Consider the following 19,499-nt stretch of genomic DNA (forward strand, 5'->3'; position numbering starts at 1 on the left):
ATTATCTGGCCACACCCCAGATCCCACTAAATGAGAAACTCTGGTTGGGGGTCCAGCAATCATGTTTTACTAAGCCATGCAGGAAATTCTGGTCCATGCTCATAGTCTGTGTGAGGCTGCTTTACTTGGATTTGCCACTGCAGCAGTTGCCATGTAGGCAAAGACAGCCATGGGATCAAGGCTGGGTATCAGTGGATATGGTTCCCTGAGGCCTCCTTACAAATGTGCTCACATTCAGTGGAACTGCAACATGCCAGGAGTGAGTCATCCACCAAGTCAGAGTTCAAAGGACCACTGGCTTGCTGCCTTGTGCACTAATTGCCAAGCTGGATCAGGGACCGTGTCTGTAATCAAGGCACCACCAGACCATATAAGAAAATAGTATTTTTTTTTTATGTTAGCATAAAAAAGTTGCAGGAGTTCTTGTATTCTGAATGTCAGACTCTTATTGGATATGTGACTTATAAAAATTTTCTCCCATTCTGTGGGCTGTCTTTTCACTTTCTTGTTGGTGTCCTTTGAAGCACAAAAGTTTTTAATTTTGGTAATGTTCAGTTTATCTATTTTTTCTTGCTTGTTTTTTGGTATCATATCTAAGAAATCATTAACTGACAGTTCGTGAAGATTTATGTTTTCTCTTAGGAGTTGTGTAGTTTTGGTTCTTACATTTAGCTCTGTTGTATATTTTGAGTTAATTTTTGTACGTGGTGTGAAGTAGGGGTGCACCTTCATTCTTTTGCCTGTGGCTATCTAGTTGTCTCAGCACCGTTTGTTGAAAAGACTATATTTTCTCCCTTAAATTGCCTTTGATCCTTGTTAAAGATCAGTTGGCCATATTTCATATGAATAGATCAGTTGGATCTATTCATATTTCTGCGTTCTCTGTTTCATTCCATTGATCTGTTTGTCTATCCTTTTATCAATATCACACCGCCTTGATTACTGTAGCTTGATAGTCTGGAAGCCAAGTAGTGTCAATTCTCTGACTTTGTTTTTCTGTATATTTTTGATGATTCTGGATCTTATGATTTTTAATATAAACTTTAGAATCAGATTTTCAACATCTATAAAATAATGTACAGGTATTTTGAATAATATTGTGTTGAATTTCAGAAAGGAATGACTTAACAATAATGGCTTAACAATACTCAGAATGGCTTAACAATATTGAGACTTCCTATTCATCAACATGCAATATCTCTCCATTGTTTAGATCTTTGATTTCTTTCATCAGAGATTTTTAGTCCTCCAGACAGATCTTCAACATACTTTGTGAAATCTATACCTAAGTGTTTCAGTTGTTTGGTACTAATGTAAATGGCATTGTGTTTTAAATTTCAAATTCCAATTGTTTAAAGCTGGTGTATAGAAGAGCAATGGCTTTTGTATATTAATCTGTATCCTGCAAATGTGCTATACCTGCTTATTAGTTGCAAGAGGCCTTACGTTCATACTTTGGGATTTTCCACATAGATTATCATGTCATGCGTGAACAAAGACAATTTTTTGTTCTTCCTTCCCATTCCATATACCTTTAATTTCCTTTTCTTGTCTTAAGGCATTAGTTAGGACTTCTAGTACAATGTTGAGTAGGAGTGGAACCTTGCCTCGTTCCTGATCTTAGGGCAAAAGCATCTAGCTTCTCACCATTAAGTACAATGTAAGCTATGATTCTCTTCTTTTAGATCTTCTTTATCACGTTAAGAAAGTTCCCCTCTATTTCTAATTTGCCGAGAGTTTTTTTATCATTAAATTACTGTTAAATTTTATCAAATGTTTTTTCTGCATTTATTGATATGACTACATTTTTCTTCTTTAGCTTGTTATATATCATTACTTCACTTTTGAACCAGACTTGCATACCTGGAATAAATCCCACTTGGTCGTGGTGTTTAATTATTTTTGTACATTGTTGGATTTGATTTGCTAATTTTTTGAGGATGTTCACAACTATGCTCATCAGAGATATCGGTCCGTAGTTGTTTTGTTTTTTCCTGTAATGGGTTTATCTGGTTTTGGTCTTAGGGTAATGCTTGCCCTATAGAATGAGATAGGAAATGTTCCCTCTGCTTCTATTTTCTAGAAAAAATGTAGAGAATTGATACTATTTCTCCCTTAACTCTTTTCTTCCAGTGAAATCATCTGGACCTGGTGCTTTCTGTTTTGAAAGGTTATTAATTATTGAGTTAATTTATTTAATGCATATAGGCCTTTTCAGATTATGTATGTATTTTTGGTAGATTCTGCCCTCCAAAGTTTCAGTTCACTTCATCTAAGTTATCAAATTTGTAAGCATATAATGATTTATAAGATTCTTTTATTATCCTTTAATATTCATGGAATTGGTATTTATGCCCCTCTTTCATTTCTCATACTAGTAATTGGTGCCTTCTCTTGTCTCTTGGCTAGCCTGGCTAGAGTATTATAAATTCTGTTGATCCTTTCAAATAATCAGCTTTGGATTTTAGTTTCTCTACTGATTTTCTGGTTAAAATGTTACTGACTTCTGCTCTGATTTTTATTATGTATTCACAAGCTTGCTTTAGGTTCACATTGCTCCTTTATCTAATTTTCTAAGGTAAAAGCTTAGATAAATACCTTTAGGTTTTCTTCTCTACTTTTCTAATATATGCATTCAATGCTATAAATTTCCCTTTAACCACTGCTTTTGCTGAATCTCACAAATTTTGATATGTTGTATTTTTGTTTGCATTTATGTCAAAATATTTTTAAGTTTTTCTTGAGACTTCTTCTTTGACCCATGTGTTATTTTAAACTGTGTTGTTTAATCTCCAAATATTTTTGAATTTTAAGCGTTCTGTTACTGATTTCTTACGTAATTTTGTTGTGGTCTGGAACATACTTTGTATGATTTCTATTCTTTTAAACCTTTTTGGTGTGTTACTTGGTCCATCTTGGCAAATGTTCCATGTGAGCTTGAGAAAAATGTATATTCTTCTGTAAGTGGATGAAGTAGTCTGTCAGTGACATTCGATCCGGTTGATTGATGATGATGCACAGTTCGACTATATCCTTGCTGATTTTTTGCCTGCTGGATCTGTCAATTATGATATAAGGGTTTTGAATTGTCCAGCTATAATTGTGGACTTGTTTATTTCTCCTTGCAGTTCTTAGTTTTTGCCTTCTGTATTTTGACACTCCATTATTAGGTGCATACACATTAAAGATTATTATGCTTTCGACCGGGTGCAGTGGCTCACGCCTGTAATCCCAGCACTTTGGGAGGCTGAGACGGGCGGATCACGAGGTCAGGGGATCGATACCATCCTGGCTAACATGGTGAAACCCCGTCTCTACTAAAAATACAAAAAAAATTAGCTGGGCGTGGTGGCGGGTGCCTGTAGTCCCAGCTACTCGGGAGGCTGAGGCAGGAGAATGGCGTGAACCCAGGAGGTAGAGCTTGCAGTGAGCTGGGATTGCACCACTGCACTCCAGCCTGGGTGATAGAGCGAGACTCTGTTTCAAAAAAAAAAAAAAAAAGATTATTATGCTTTCAGGGAGAGTAGACCCTTTTATTATGTAATGCACTTCTTTGTTCTCAATAATTTTTCTTATTCTGATAACTACTTTGTCTTAATATAGCCACCCCAGCTTTCTTTCGATTAGTGTTAGCATGGTATATCTTTCTCCATCTCTCTCTCTCTCTCTCTCTACTTTTAATTTTTATATTTAAAGTGGGTTTTATAGACAGATAGGTCTTGTTTTTTATCTACTATGTCAATATAATTCACATTTAAAGAGATTGTTGCTATAATTAGATCAATATCTACCGTATTTTTATTGGGTTTTATTCATTATACTTGTTTCTCACTAGTTTTGTCTTTTTCTCTTCTTCTGCCATCTTTGGTTTTAATTGAGCACTTTGTATGATTCCAGTGTCTTCTTTCTTAGCTATATATATTGGGTGCTCACTCTCACTCGCTCTCTCTCTCTGTATATATAGCTGTAATATTTATATATTACAACATGATGTATGTATTTTGTATTTGTAATAATTTTTCTTTTCCTTCTCTTCTGCCTTCTTTGGTTTTAAGCATTTTATATGATTCTAGTATCTCTTCTCTCTTAGCAAAATAGATTGCTATATGTAAGTACAATATAAATTGTATTTCTTTTAAAAATTTTTTTAGTGGTTACCTTAGCATTTGCAATATACATTTACAACTAATCTAACTCCATTTTCTTTTTTCTTTTTTTCTGAGATGAGGTTTCACTCTTGTTGCCCAGGCTGGAGTGCAATGGCACAATCTCGGCTCACTGCAACCTCTGCCTCCTTGGTTCAAACAATTCTCCTGCCTCAGCCTCCCGAGTAGCTGGGATTACAGGCATGTACCGCCATGCCCAGCTAATTTTGTATTTTTAGTAGAGATGGGATTTCGCCATGTTGGTCAGGCTAGTCTCAAACTCCTGACCTCAGGTGTTCCACCTGCCTCGGCCTCCCAAAGTGCTGGGATTACGGGCATGAGCCACCATGCCCAGCCTCTAATTCCATTTTCAAATAACACTACTGCCTCATTGGTAATGCAGTTATCTTTTAATAGACTATTCTCATTTCCTCCCTCTCATCCTTTATAACATTGCTGTCATTCATTTCGTTTATCCATAAGTTATAATCACTGACTGTATTGCTTTTATTACTGTTTTGAACAGACAGCTCAATTAATAAACTAACATATTTTATCTTCATTTACTCCTTCTCTAGTACTCTTTCATTCTTTACATAGATGTGAGTTTCTGACCTATATCATTTTTCTTGTCTATGAAGAAATTTCTTTTTAACATTTCTGGTAAGGCAGGTCTACTGACAACAAAATCCCTCAGTCTTCTTGGTCTAAGAAAGCTTTTATTACGCTTTACTTTTGAAGGATAATTTTATAAGATACAAAATTATTTGTTGATTGTTTTTTTCCTTAAACATTTTAAATATTTTACTCAACTCTCCTTTTTGCATAGTTTCTCAAGAGAAGTTCCATGTAATTGTTATCCTTGTTCCTTCATAGGTAAGGTAATTTATTTCCTGTGGACTCTTTCAAGATTTTGTCTTTGTCTTTGATATTATGCGGTTTGAATATGCAATGACTAAGAGTTGATTTTTTGGCATTTATCCTGCTTAATGTTCTATGGGTGTCCTGGATCTTTGGTTTGGTATCTTTCATTAATTTTGAAGAATTTTTAGCTACCATTATTTCCAATCTTTCTTCTGCTCATTTTTTTCTTTTTTCTCCTTGTAAGCATCTCACAGTTCTTGGATATTCTTTCCTTTTTAATTTTTATTCTTTTTTTTTTTCAAGTATCTAATGACATATGTCTAAGCATACTGATTCTTGTCACTGTGTCTAGTTTACTCATGAGCCCGTCAAAAACATTCTTCAGCCGGGCACGGTGGCTCACGCCTGTAATCCCAGCACTTTGGGAGGCCAAGGCAGGCGGATCACAAGGTCAGGAGATTGAGACCATCCTGGCTAACACGGTGAAACCCCATCTCTACTAAAAATACAAAAAATTAGCCAGGTGTGGTGGTGGGAGCCTGTAGTCCCAGCTACTCGGGAGGCTGAGGCAGGAGAATGGCGTGAACCCGGGAGGCGGAGCTTGCAGTGACCCGAGATGGCGCCACAGCGCTCCAGCCTGGGCGACAGAGGAGACTCTGTCTCAAAAAAAAAAAAAAAGAAAAAGAAAAAGAAAAAAAATTCTTCATTTTTGTTACGTTGTTTTTTATGTCTAGCATTTCCTTTTCATTCTTTGAGTTTCTATCTCTACTTACATTGCCCATGTGGTCTTGCATGGTGTTCACTTTTCCATTAAACCCGTTAGCACATTAAGTAGTTATTTTTAACTCCCAGTTTGATAATTCCAAAATTTCTGCCACATCTGAGTCTTGTCCTGAGGTTTGCGTTCTGTCTTCTTCTTTTTTTTTTTTTTTTTTTTTTTGCCTCTAAGTATACCTTGTACTTATTTGTTGAAAACCTTGAAAACCAGACATGATGTATTAGATAACTGTCACAAAAGTAAACAGAGGTTTAGTGTGAGGTTTTATGTTTCCAGGGCTAGGAGTTACGGCTGTGTCTCATGTTCATTTAGCTGCAGTTTTACCTGGTGTCCTTGTTTTTGTCTCCCTTGTTGTCCTTAGGTTTCCCTAAAAACTGATTTTTAAATAGAATCTGTGCTTTGCAAATCTCTCAGTTATAATCCACTGATATTATACTGGAGTCTGTCAATGTGTTGGTAAGGTATTATGGAGGGGAAGCATTCTTTTCTCTTATAATTACATCTCAGGGTTTTTTAGGAGCTGTGAATCACTGGGATGTGGCCTTCAGAAGAGTTACTCAGCCTTTTTTAAAGGACAGGAATTCTGCCTTCCCCAGTGATATGGTTTGGCTATGACATCACCCAAATCTCATCTTGAATTGTAGTTCCCATAATCCCCGTATGTTGTGGCAGGGACCCAGTGGGAGGTAACTGAATCACGGGATTGGTTTCCTCCATGCTGTTCTTGTGATAGTGAGTGAGTTCTCATAAGATCTGATGGTTTTATAAGGGGCTTTTCCCCCTTTGCTGGGCACTTCTCTCTGCTGCCGCCAAGGAAAGAAGGACATGTTTGCTTCCCTTCCACCATGATTGTAAGTTTCCTGATGCCTCCCCAGCTATACGGAACTATGAGTCAATTAAATCTCTTTTCTTTTTAAATTACCCAGTCTCAGGAAGTCCTTTATCGCACCTTGAGAGCAGATTAATACATCCAGGTCATATTAGGCACTGGCCAAGTAGTTTCCCTTGTGGGCAGGCTTTGGTTAAGGAGAACAGAAAGTTCTGGACATATTTAAAATGGTTACTTTCCCTCTGAGCTTATGTCATAATGGTTACTTTTCCCATCCTTAGCCCAGAGCTGGTGTAGATTTTATCTGACCTTCACTGTAAGAACCGGATGGCATTTCCTGGAGGTAAAACTCAAAGAAGTGTAGAGACTACGAAGACTGGGCCCCTCTGAAGTTTTAATTCAAGCTCTACTTGCATGTCAGTGTTCCCGAGAAGCTGTGATTCTCTGTGTTTGCCTGTTTTTAGGATGGCAATTTGTCCTGTGACCTCCGTTCTCTGATGTATGTAGGAAGAATTGTTGATGAGTTTTTTTCCTATTTTGAGAACGGAAATGAGACTTCTAAGCCTTTATATGTCTGAGCAGAAACCAGAAGTTTCTGATGTTTTCTTAAACAGATTCTTCCTGTGGTTCATGATGTTAAATTATTGTTAAGCGTTTATACTCTGCACCCTGGAGTGCAACTAGATCTTAACATACCTTCTGAAGTTTTTTAAAGAATTTCTAAAAATTGTGATTGGTATGATTTTAATGTTAAGGGTGTTTTATTATATACTGATTCCATGAAATTTGTGATTAAGGAAACTCTGGTTTAAAAACATTTACTTGTCCAGGCGCAGTGGCTCACGCCTGTAATGGCAGCACTTTGGGAGGCCTAGGTGGGTGGATCATTTGAGGTCAGGAGTTCGAGACCAGCTTGACCAACGTGGTGAAACCCCGTCTCTACTAAAATACAAAAAAAAATAGCTGGATGTGGTGGCAGGCACCTGTAATCTCAGCTACTCGGGAGGCTGAGGCAGGAGAATCGCTTTAACCCAGGAGGCACACGTCGCAGTGAGCCAAGATCATACCACTGTACTCCAGCCTGGGCGACAGAGCAAGACTTCCTCTAAAAAAAAAAAAAAAAAAGTACTTAACCACCATTTCCCACACTTTTCTTGGTTTTTATTAGTTGGTATTGACAAAGCACCAAAATGATTTTAAAATTGAGCTCAAGTATCTGGAAGACGATCTCCTTTTGCGCCTTTCTGCGGCAGAGGGAAGCTTTCTGGATGACACCAAACTGGTAGAGAGATTGGAGGCAACAAAGACCACCGTGGCAGAGATAGAGCACAAGGTAGGAAGGGCAGAGGGTGCCTGGCAGATTCTAATGCTCTGTTCGAATGAGACATGTGGGGTGGGCAGTGTGATCAGACTTGGTAATTCCTCTAAGAGGACCAGCGTGTGGAATTCAGGTGATTTAATAAGCTGCAGTTGGACTGTGTGGGATTGTAAATGGAGATGGAGATGGTTGAATGTGTGCTTCTCCTAATTCCATAGAGATGTCATTCAAATTAGACACTGTCCGGCTATTATTTTTCCTGGGTGACCAAATGTGAAGAAAAGCTGAGGCCTGCTGGCTTCTATGGCTGAAAATCTGAAAAGCCTTAGCATCCGGCTCTTCCAAACTCATATCCTACAGTTTCTCTGCAGGTTCTCCAAGCTGTTGGACATTTTAAAGAAATTCTTAGAGTGAAAGTTTTGTTTACAGGCCTGCCGTGGCAGGATACCGAGCAAAGGATAATCTCCTGCTGTACTCAAATGCACTATTCACCCCAGGAAAAATGACATTTCCTAAAAGCCAGTAGAAATTTTTATTAAATAGGCTTCCTGCTAATGTCCAACATGGGTCCCAATATGCCTTATGTGTGATGTGCACTTTGGACTTTCACAGATGACCGTTAACCCTTAAAATGCCATTGTTTCAGTGTGAATTAGACCCTTATTTGCTTTCTGGAATATCCTTATTACTAAGTAATCTATTAATTACCCAGCAGAAGCTGTGTCACTACGCATCCTTTATATTTGTCTTAAATTAAGCGAGGAAATGGAATCCCAAATTACTCTGTCTTTTCAAGTAAGTGAATATTAGGTGGCTCCTAAGATGGTAAAGTTAGAACAATTAAGTAAATTAACTTAGCTTTGAAGTTAACTTCTAATTGTCTCTTAAAATGTGTCTTCCTATCTTCTTAATATATCACCATGTAGTGACTTCCTTCTCTGCCCTACATTTTATTTCCTTTTATACACAAATATTATGAGTCAACTCTATAGAGAAGGTTGGGGAAAATACTGTATCCTATGGGACCAGCAGTAGTCCTAGATAAAAGAAATAGATATTTGAGCCTTGGGTAAAACTGATATGTTGGTTGATGGTGGTGCTGGTTTTTCTTTTTAAATTATCTCTCTGAATGTACCCAGAGGCTAATACATAAAGATAAACTAAATGGAAATATATGGACATATGGATGATCCAGTGCAAAGTTAGAATTAGGCATGAGAGTCTCTATATTAAGGCTTTTTAGTAAGCATAAGTTACTGGGTATATTATTGACCTTGACTGCTTTTGTATGCTTTGTTGCCTAATGAAGTTATTGGCATTGAATTGACCCAGCAGACTTTTAAGAGCCATCCCTGGGAGGTGATATAGCTGGGTTATTAAGCCTTGAAAGAGAGAGGGGAGGCAGGAAGGTGACATTACTCAAATTCTGTAGAACAGAAAACAACTAGGTTTGTTTAATCTGTAACCTAGAAAACCGCTAGAGTTATGTCCATTCTCACTGAAACTCAGTTTATTAAAAAAATTATTTTAAAATATGAATGTAATCATTTTAGAAAAGCTCGAGCACATGGATGCCATGCATGTTATCTATTTTAATACTCATAATTTTTCATTTCAGGTACGTCCTTCCATTCCTTGGATATGCGTAGAGAATATGAAGAGTAAATAAGTTACTTATTTTGTTTGATCCCACCATAGGTGATTGAAGCCAAAGAAAATGAAAGAAAAATCAACGAGGCCCGAGAATGTTACAGACCAGTGGCAGCAAGAGCATCTCTTCTTTATTTTGTTATTAATGACCTCCAAAAAATCAACCCCCTCTACCAATTCTCTTTGAAGGTAATGCTGAATGAGCTAAGAAATATGGGAAACTTTAGGAGTTCAATTTGTTTCTGGAACATTGGAATTTATTTTATTATTGATAATAATAATAACTATTATTACTATTATTGAGACAGAGTCTCACTCTGTAGCCCAGGCTGGAGTGCAGTGGCGTGATCATTGCAACCTCTGCCTCCCATATTCAAGCAATTCTCATGCCTCAGTCACCTGAGTAGCTGGGACTACAGGAGTGCGCCACCACACCTGGCTAATTTTTGTATTTTTAGTAGAGACAGGGTTTTGCCACATTGCCCAGGCTGGTCTCGAACTCCTGACCTCAAATGATCTCCCCTCCTTGGCCTCCCAGAGTGCTGAGAGTACAGGCGTGAACCACCGCGCACAGCCAGAATGTATTTTTAAGCCATCGGTGTACCCAGTAAGGAGTCATGAGGATCTGGTTAACAAAATAACAAAAGCAAAATTCTTATTCTCAGGAATTTTCATTTATAATTTTCAGTAAGGCTTTGAGGTAATTAAACTGTGCATACGGTATCATATTATATTGGTGTATTGCTCCTGAGCAGTCTCTTAATTTTTTTTTTTTTTTTTTTTGGGATGGAGTCTCCCTCTGTCGCCCACGCTGGAGTGCAGTGGCGCGATCTTGGCTCACTGCAAGCTCCACCTTCCGGGTTCACTCCATTCTCCTGCCTCAGCCTCCTGAGTAGCTGGGACTACAGGTGTCCGCCACCACACCTGGCTAATTTTTTGTATTTTTAGAAGGGATGGGGTTTCACCGTGTTAGCCAGAATGATCTCTATCTCCTGACCTCGTGATCTGCCCGCCTCAGCCTCCCAAAGTGTTGGGATTACAGGCGTGAGCCACCGCACCTGGCCAGCAGACTCTTTAAGGGAATTTTCCTTGAGGCTCCTATTTTGTCTTTGTGAAAATATGTCTTGGAAAGAGAATGCTCATATTTCTTTGCTAAAGAAAGAAAAATAATAAGAACAACTATTTATTGAGTCACTATTACATGCAAGGCATTTTTATACTTTGGCTCATTCTTTATCCCTATTACATCTCAATAAAGAATATAATATCCCCATTTAAAAAATAAGGATGACATTTTCAAACTTTAAATAAATTGCCCAAGAATTTACATTTGTTATTGTAAGAGCCAGCATTTCAACCTGTAACTGTTTCCAAAGCCCACGCTCCATACCTTGTACCATGCTGCTGCCTGCTGGGCAGTGCTCATTCATTCTGTTCATCTGTTCATCCGTTTTTAGACAAATGTTTATTATGATCAATCACGTCAGATGCTTGTCACTTGAGTGTATAGTTTTGGACAAAACATAAGGGTGGAGGTATATCTATATGTAGATACATATAGATATATATGTACACATAGATATAGTTCCACCTTTATGATCATACATTTGTTTATAAAAGTAGAAAGTATTGTAAGACAGAATGATAGAGGTGGAGAGGCTGCTTTTACTGGGGGCTCAGGGAAGGCCTCCCAGAGGAAGTAACGTTTATTTCTGAAGGATAAGTAGGACTTAGCTATGTAAAGAGTGTTTGGAGAAAACAGGAATGTGTGAGATGAAAGAATTCAGGGATTCCAGGTAGTGAGTGAATTTCTGTGGCTGCAGGGTAATGAGCAAGGGGAAAGGTAGCAAGAAATGAATCTAGAGAGGTGGGAAAGACTGAATCACGCAGAGTTTTGTAGACCACTGTGTGTGGAATTTGGGGATTATAATCTGTGTGCAACAAGAAGCCATTGGAAGATTTCAAGCAGATAACTGATGTGATGACAAAAGACTCAGAGTTACGTGAACAGACCTGAGATATGATTTGAAGCTGGAATCATTGGCTCCTGGAGATGGACTGGTTATGGGCAATAATAAAGAGGAAAGGATCAAGCATAACTAGCAGGTTTCCTAACAGTACAGAACTAGTATGCAAAACTTCTAACAAGCACAGTGTGGTTGGAGTTTGAAAGTAACCATGTGTGAGGAGAAGAGTAAAACTAAATCATCAGTGTCAGCCCAGTATTGCCCAAATTCCAAAACTACACTAAGGCATTACAATAAAAGAAAAATACTGGGCAGTCCCCCCTTGTAAACATTGTTGGTAAACTCCTCCAGAAAATGTTGGCAAATTGAATCCAACCATATATAAAAAGCACAATGTATCATGACCAAGTGGAATGTATGCCAAGAATCAAATTGGTTTAACATTCAAAAATCACGAAGTGTAATTAATCAGTTAACAGAATAAAAGAAAAAAAAGCTCATATGGTCATTTCAGTTGATGCAAAGAACTTGAAAAATTTCAACAAATGAGTTAAAAAAAAAACCAACCAACTCTCAACTAATGAATAGATGGTAACTTCTCAACATGATAAAATGCATCTAGAAAAAATCTACACCAACATTATACTTAATGTTGAAAATGGAATGCTTTTCGCTAAAATCAGGAACAAGACAAGGATATCTTTCTCTCAGCACATCTATTCAGCGCTGCACTGGAAGTTATAGTCGGTACAGTAAGACAATAGAAGGCAAGAGATTTAAAAGAAGAAGAAAAACTGTGTTTTTTCACAGATGACCTGATTATGTATATAGAAAATCCCAAGAAACTCACCAAAACCCTGCCAGGACTAAGAAGTGAATTTTTAGCAAGGTTGCAGGATATAAGGTTGATATACAATGTACCTTGTATTTCTATACATGAGAAACAAGTGGAAAATAAAATCAGTGTCTTAGCACTATTTACAGTGGCTTCCAAAGCCGTGAAGCTTTTTAGGAATAATTTTAATAAAATATATGCAAGGTTTGTATTCTAAAAACTCCAAAATATTGTTGAGAAAAATTAAAGAAGTCCTAACTAAATAGATACACCATGTTCATCAGTTGGAATGCTCAATATTGTTAAGATGTCAGTTCGCTCCAAACTGATTTATAGATTCAATTCAGTCCCAATCAAAACACCAGAAGACATTTCCTTTTTCCTTTTGGTAGAAATTGGCAAGCTTATCCTGAAAATTTGTGTGAAAATTCAAAGGACTTAAAATAGCTAAACAATTTTGAAAAAGAAAAAAAAAAACAGGGTTGGAAGACTTACAATTTCTGATTTTAAGACTTAAATCTACACGAATCAAGATGTTGTGGTACTGGCCTGAAGAAAAATGCATAGATCTGTGGAACAGATTGGAGAATCCCGAGGTACACCCACAAATGCATGGTCAATTGATTTTCAGTAGGGGTGCCAAGACAATTCAATGAGGAAAGGACAGTTTTTACAACAAATGGTGCTGGAGCAATTGGATATCCACATGACATAAAATAAACCTCAAACTATTATACTATATAAAAAAATTCAAAATGAATTTATTAAGCTATACATTTTCTAGGAGAAAAATAAGAGAGGGCTTTGGGTTAGGCAAAGATTTCTTAGGACACAATAGAAAATAAAAACTTAATAAATTGAACCTTATCAAGCTTAAAAGTTTATGGTTTTCAAAAGATATGAAGATGAAAAGGTAGGCCACAGACAAGCAAAGACAATATTCTCAATACATATATATAAAACAAAGAATTTGTATCAGGATATAAAAAGAACTTGTACAACTCAGTAATAAGAGTTGAACAGACATGTAATAACACATGTGAATTATCCACAAGCACATTAAAAATGCTCATCAGGCATCAGAAAAATGCAAAATAAAAGCAGAATGAGGTCTTATTCTATGTCCCACAGAATGGCTAAAGTTTCAGAAGACTCTTAATAGCAAGTGTAGCACAGATATGGTACTACAGCTCTCTCACATTGCTGGAAGGAATGCAATAAACCATTTTGGAAAACAGTTTGGCAGTTTCTTGTAAAGATAAATATACAGTTAGAAAATATGATCTCACACTTTTACTCCAGGCATTTACCTAAGATAAATAAAAATGTATGCCTGCAAAAAGCTTAACAAATGTTCATAGATGCTTTATTCATAAAAGCCAAAGTCTAAAAACAATCCAAAGGACTGACACATTAATAGTCATGCAGATTTTGCATGTTCCCACAGTGGGCTATTACTCAAAACATAAAGGTATGAATTGTTGGTACACACAACAACGTGGATATGTCACCAAACGATTATGTTGAAAAGAAGCAGCCAGATACCGAGGAGTATATACCATATGATGCTATTTATGTGAAATTATAGAAAAGGCAAAATTATTCTACAGTGACAGAGGCAGGTCAGTAATTGACTGGGGCTGGCGATGGTGGTGGGAATAGGCTGTAAATAGGCACATGAGAACTTTTTCTGGTAATGTAAGTAGAAAGGTTCTTTATCTTGATTGCTACGGTTATTGTTAGAATATATCTATTTGTCAAGACTCATCAAACTGTGCATATAATAGGCACATTTTATAGTATGTAAACGAAAAACTGATTTTAAGAAAGTGTAAATATCAGGTTAGTACAGATTGAGCCTCCTAATCCAAAAACCAGAATGCTCCAAAATCTGAAACTTTTTGAATGCTGACAAGATGCCCCAAGTGGAAAATTCTACACCTGACCTCATGCACTTTATGCACAAAATTGTTTAAAATATTGTATAAAATTAACTTCAGGCTATGTGTATAAGGTGTCTATGAAACATACATGAATTTTTTTTTTCATTTTGTTTTGTTTTTGAGATGGAGTCTCACTCTGTCACCCAGACTGGAATGTAGTGGTGCAATCTCGGCTCACTGCAATCTCCACCTCCCAGGTTGAAGCGATTCTCCTGTCCCAGCCCCTCAAGTAACTGGGACTACAGGCACCCACCACCATGCCTGGCTAAATTTTGTATTTTTGGTAGAGATGGGGTTTCACCATGTTGGCCAGGCTGGTCTCAAACTCCTGAACTCAGGTGATCCACCTGCCTCAGCCTCCCAAAGTGCTGGGATTACAGGCATGAGCCACAAGCCCAACCTATAAATGCTTTTGTGTTTAAACTTGGGTTCCATCCCCAAGACATCTCATTGTGTATTTGCAAATATTCAAACATCTGAAAAAATCCAAAATCTGAAACACTTCTGGCCCCAAGCATTTCAGATAAGACATATTCAAGCTATACTTTGTTAATGCCTTCTTACCAATGTTTACTGTATATATCTGTCATTGTAGGATTTTACTTTCACTCAAATATACATACTTCAAGGTGAATTAATCTGTGGTCTCTGGTCCCTATCATCCAAAAATAAATAGATATTTTTATATTGATGGCTATTTATATATATAGATATATTTTTCAAATTTATATTTATATAGAGAGATATAGCAATTCATACAACGCCATTATCACCAAGGCATGAATGAGAGTAATAAATATCAAGAGTGATCTTTAAAGGAAGAAGAGGTGACCAAGGGGCATCCCGAAAGTACATGGGAACAACAACAACAACAACAACGACAACAAAACACAGCAAATAACCAGATTTTAAAATAAGGACATAAGTGGACATTTCTCCAAAGATGTTATAAAAATGATCAACAAGCCTGGGCAACACAGAGAAACCCTGTCTCTACAAAAAAATTCAAAAATTAGCCAAGTGTGATGACACATGCCTGTGGTCTCAGCTACCCAAGAGGCTGAGGTGGGAGGGTTGCTTAGGACCGGGAGGTTGAGGCTGCAGTGAGCCACGGTCACTCCACCGCACTCCAGGCTGGATGACAGAATGAAAGTTTGTCTCAAACAAAAAAGGCAACAAACATATGAAAAAATACTCAACATTAACAATTTTTAGGGAGATGCAACTCAAAACCACAATGAGATATCACCTCACACCCATTAGAATGGCTACTATCAAAAAAAAAAGATAACAAGTGTTGGTAATGACGTGGAGAAATTGGAATCTTTTGGTGGGGGTGCACAATGGCACAGCCACTATGGAAAACAGTGTAGCAATTCCTCAGAAAAATTACAAATAGAATTACCATATGATCAAGCAATTCCACTTCTAGCTGTTTATTCAAAAGAATCAAAAGAGTGTCTTTAGGAGATATCCAAATACCCAAATTCATAGTAGCATTATTTACAATAGCCAAAAGGTGGAAGCAACCCAGATGTCCGTCAGTGGATGAATAGATGAATCAAATGTTGTATATCCGTGCAGTTGAATATTCTTTTGCCTTAAAAATGAACAAATTTCTCATACATGCTGCAACGTGGATGAACCTTGATATTATCCTAATTCAAATGAGCCAGTCACAGTAAGACTGTGACTCTGCTTATATGAGTGTATTAGTCTGTTTTCACAGTGCTGATAAAGACATACCCAAGAGACTGGGTGATTTATAAAGAAAAAGAGGTTTAGTGGAGTCACAGTTCCACGTGGCTGGGGAGGCCTCACAATCATGGTGGAAGGCGAAAGGCACTTCTTACATGGCAGCAGGCAAGACAGAATGAGAGCCAAGTGAAAGAGATTTCCCCTCATAAAACCATCAGATCTCATGAGAGTTATTCACTACCACCAGAACAGTATGGGAGAAACTGCCCCCATGATTCAGTTATCTTCCACCAGGTGCCTCCCACAACACATGGGAATTATGGGAGCTATAATTCAAGATGAGATTTGGGTGGGGAAACAGCCAAACCACATCAGTGAGGTACCTATAATAGCCAAACTCATAGAAACAGAAAGTAGAATAAAAGTGGTTGCCAGGGATGCGGGGAAGGGAGAATATACAGTTGTTTAATGGGTACAGAGCTTCAGTTTTGCAACATGAAAAAGCTCTGGCATCCTAGTGACACTGGATTTAGCTTTTCTTGTTCCTCTTTGGGAGCTATTTGTGTTAGTATGGACTGCCGCATGTAATTTTTAAACTGAGCTCATCACATTGTGTTGTACTTTTGTAATCTTACGTGAAGAGAATCTGTACTGCAAGTAAAACCTACTCCCCCAAAAATGTATGGCCTTGAATCTGCATTAAACGGTATAATTTATGTTCATGAGAAAAAAATTCCACATTTCTTGTGGTTACACAAGAATGTGACTATACTTAACACTACTGAACTGAATGTATGTACACTTAAAATTGTTAAGATGGTAACTTTTATGTTATGTGTATCCTACCACAATCAAATACTAAAATATTATTTTAAGTACATGGGCAGAAGGAGAGAAAATGATGCAATTCAATTGCTTGGAAGGAGATTGAATGGATTTCATGGAATCATATTCATAATAACAGTAATGACAGCAAACATTTAATGAGCATGTACCATGTGCCAGAAACTATAATCCTCCTAAAAATTTTGCCTCATTCTCACTCCCTATAGATAAACCTTAAACTGTTGCCCTGTGTATCGGGGGTAGCTAGACATCCAGGCACCAGTTGTCACATTTTAATGGTCACATTAAATTTCCCAGGCTTTTAACGTGCTGTTCCACAGAGCGATCGAGCAGGCTGACAAGGTGGAAGACATGCAGGGACGCATCTCTATCCTGATGGAGAGCATCACCCATGCTGTCTTCCTCTACACCAGCCAGGCGCTGTTTGAGAAGGACAAGCTCACCTTCCTGTCCCAGATGGCTTTTCAGGTAAGGAGATCAGTTACTTGAAAAAGGATCCCCAGAACCAAAGGCAGATGCCTCTGTTTATTATATATTTTATTTCTGCTGAAGCAAAATATAATAGACTTTTTTTTTTTTTTGGAAGCCCTTGGTGGCATGAGGGGAATTTGCTTCCCACAGGGAACTTGGGCATGTGACAGCCTTCTCCTAGGTCCCAGTGCTTTGGTTTGGGGAGTGGGGCCGGTGGGGTGGGTATACACATTATGCTCCTACCACAGCGGTCACCCTGAAAAATATTCATAAGACATTCTTCTCACCTTCTCGGGTCCTGTAAAGAAACTTCCAGGCACTACCAGGAAGGTTCTTTGAGATCAGGGTTATGAGTCCAGATCCGAGTGGAGCTGGGCTCCTTACAAAACAGCGACTGGGTTCGTCCATGTTGTCAAAAATGACTGAATTTTCCTTTTTTCATTGTGTGTAATTAATAACGCATATTTTTAAATTGCTAAAGGAGTAGATTTTAAATCTCATCACAAAAAAGATAAGTATGTGAGGAGATGGATATATGAATTAGCTTAATTTAACCATTCTACAATATAAACATGTATCGAAGCATCACAGTGTGCCACTTAAATATATATAATTATTATTTGTCAATTAAAATTAAGAAAATGACAGCAGTGACTAGGTAAAGAGAGCTCCAGGTTTCTTACCCACACCTTCAGTGAAACCTGCTTCCTTTTTATTCCTTTTTCACATGAATTTCTATGAAAGACTTTGTTTAAATAAAAGCGTTCATGGCCGGGCACGGTGGCTCACGCCTGTAATCCCAGCACTTTGGGAGGATCACCAGGTCAGGAGATTGAGACCATCCTGGCTAACACAGTGAAACCCCGGCTCTACTAAAAATACAAAAAATTAGCCAGGCGTGGTGGCAGGCACCTGTAGTCCCAGCTACTTGGGAAGCTGAGGCAGGAGAATGGCACGAACCCAGGAGGCAGAGCTTGCAGTGAGCTGAGATCACGCCACTGCACTCCAGCCTGGGCAACAGAGCGAGACTCCGTCTCAAAAAAAAAAAAAAAAGAAAAAGAAAAGAAAAAGCGTTCGTGATAAGAAAAAAGAAACCCTTGCAGACCACATTCCTAGATAAAATAAGCAGATTGTCCTTTTATCAGCCATTTTGCTTTATGTCTTTTTCTATCCAAATGTTAAGGAAAGGTCTATGTCTTACCTATTCTGTGTGTGCCAAAGAAGGCACTTTATACATATCTGCAGCTAATGATGAACTGTGTATGTAATAAACAGGAGCAAGGCATTACACAATGAAATACTTGTTTTTTTGTTTGTTTTGAGACGGAGTCTCGCTGTGTCGCCAGGCTGGGGTGCGGTGGTGCTATCTCAGCTTACTACACCATTTGCCTCCCAGGTTCAAGCGATTCTTCTGCCTCAGCCTCCCGAGTAGCTGGGACTACAGGCGTGCACCACCACACCCAGCTAATTTTTGTATTTGTAGTAGAGATGGGGTTTCACCATGTTGGCCAGGATGGTCTTGATCTCTTGACCTCATGATCTGCCCGCCTCTGCCTCCGAAAGTGCTGGGATTACAGGCATGAAATACTTGTTTTGTATGTACTGCTCATTAATAGAAAAAGACCAGGGATGATAATACATGACATGAACATCTATTTAAAACTTCCCCTTGGAAGCCATAGCTATATCATAATCTTAAGTCCTGACAATCTATATAAATCAAAGTTTCATAACTATATGGATAATTACGTTTGTTGAAATAAACTCAAGAAAAAATAATATCTAATAAAATATTTTAGTGCATGTTATCACTCATAACACCTTTTGAAGATATCTGGAATTTTAAGATAATATAAAGCTCAAAAATTTTACCTGTTTAGCTTTGTGGTGTGTTATGGTTTTTATGTGGAAATTAGGAATACTTCATTTGTACTCTCCAAAATATACTTTGGGTTTTTTATCAGTTCTGTGACCAGAATGTCTAAAGTTTATTCCACTTCACAATGTGTTTAGTTATACCTATAAAAGGTTTTCTCATTCTTCTCAATATAATCTTACATATTAAAAAATCCTTCATGTACCTTGTAGTTTATTGAATAACTACTATACCAGAATTAACTAATAATACTGGTTCTACCTTCTGTTTAGTAATTTA

At 37.7% G+C, this 19,499-nt stretch overlaps 1 protein-coding gene across 1 annotated transcript in view; it reads left to right on the top strand.

The window, feature by feature from the left end:
* The window catches only part of DNAH11 (dynein axonemal heavy chain 11), a 358,801-nt gene that overhangs the window by 301,644 nt on the left and 37,658 nt on the right, over positions 1-19,499 (top strand). Inside the window, exons 67-69 of the mRNA NM_001277115.2 lie at positions 7,785-7,949; positions 9,633-9,773; positions 17,171-17,341. Coding sequence (NP_001264044.1) covers positions 7,785-7,949; positions 9,633-9,773; positions 17,171-17,341 — 477 coding nt within the window. The remainder of the gene's footprint in view (positions 1-7,784; positions 7,950-9,632; positions 9,774-17,170; positions 17,342-19,499) is intronic.

Source organism: Homo sapiens, chromosome 7 (assembly GCF_000001405.40).
Source record: "Homo sapiens chromosome 7, GRCh38.p14 Primary Assembly".
Lineage (NCBI taxonomy): Eukaryota > Metazoa > Chordata > Mammalia > Primates > Hominidae > Homo > Homo sapiens.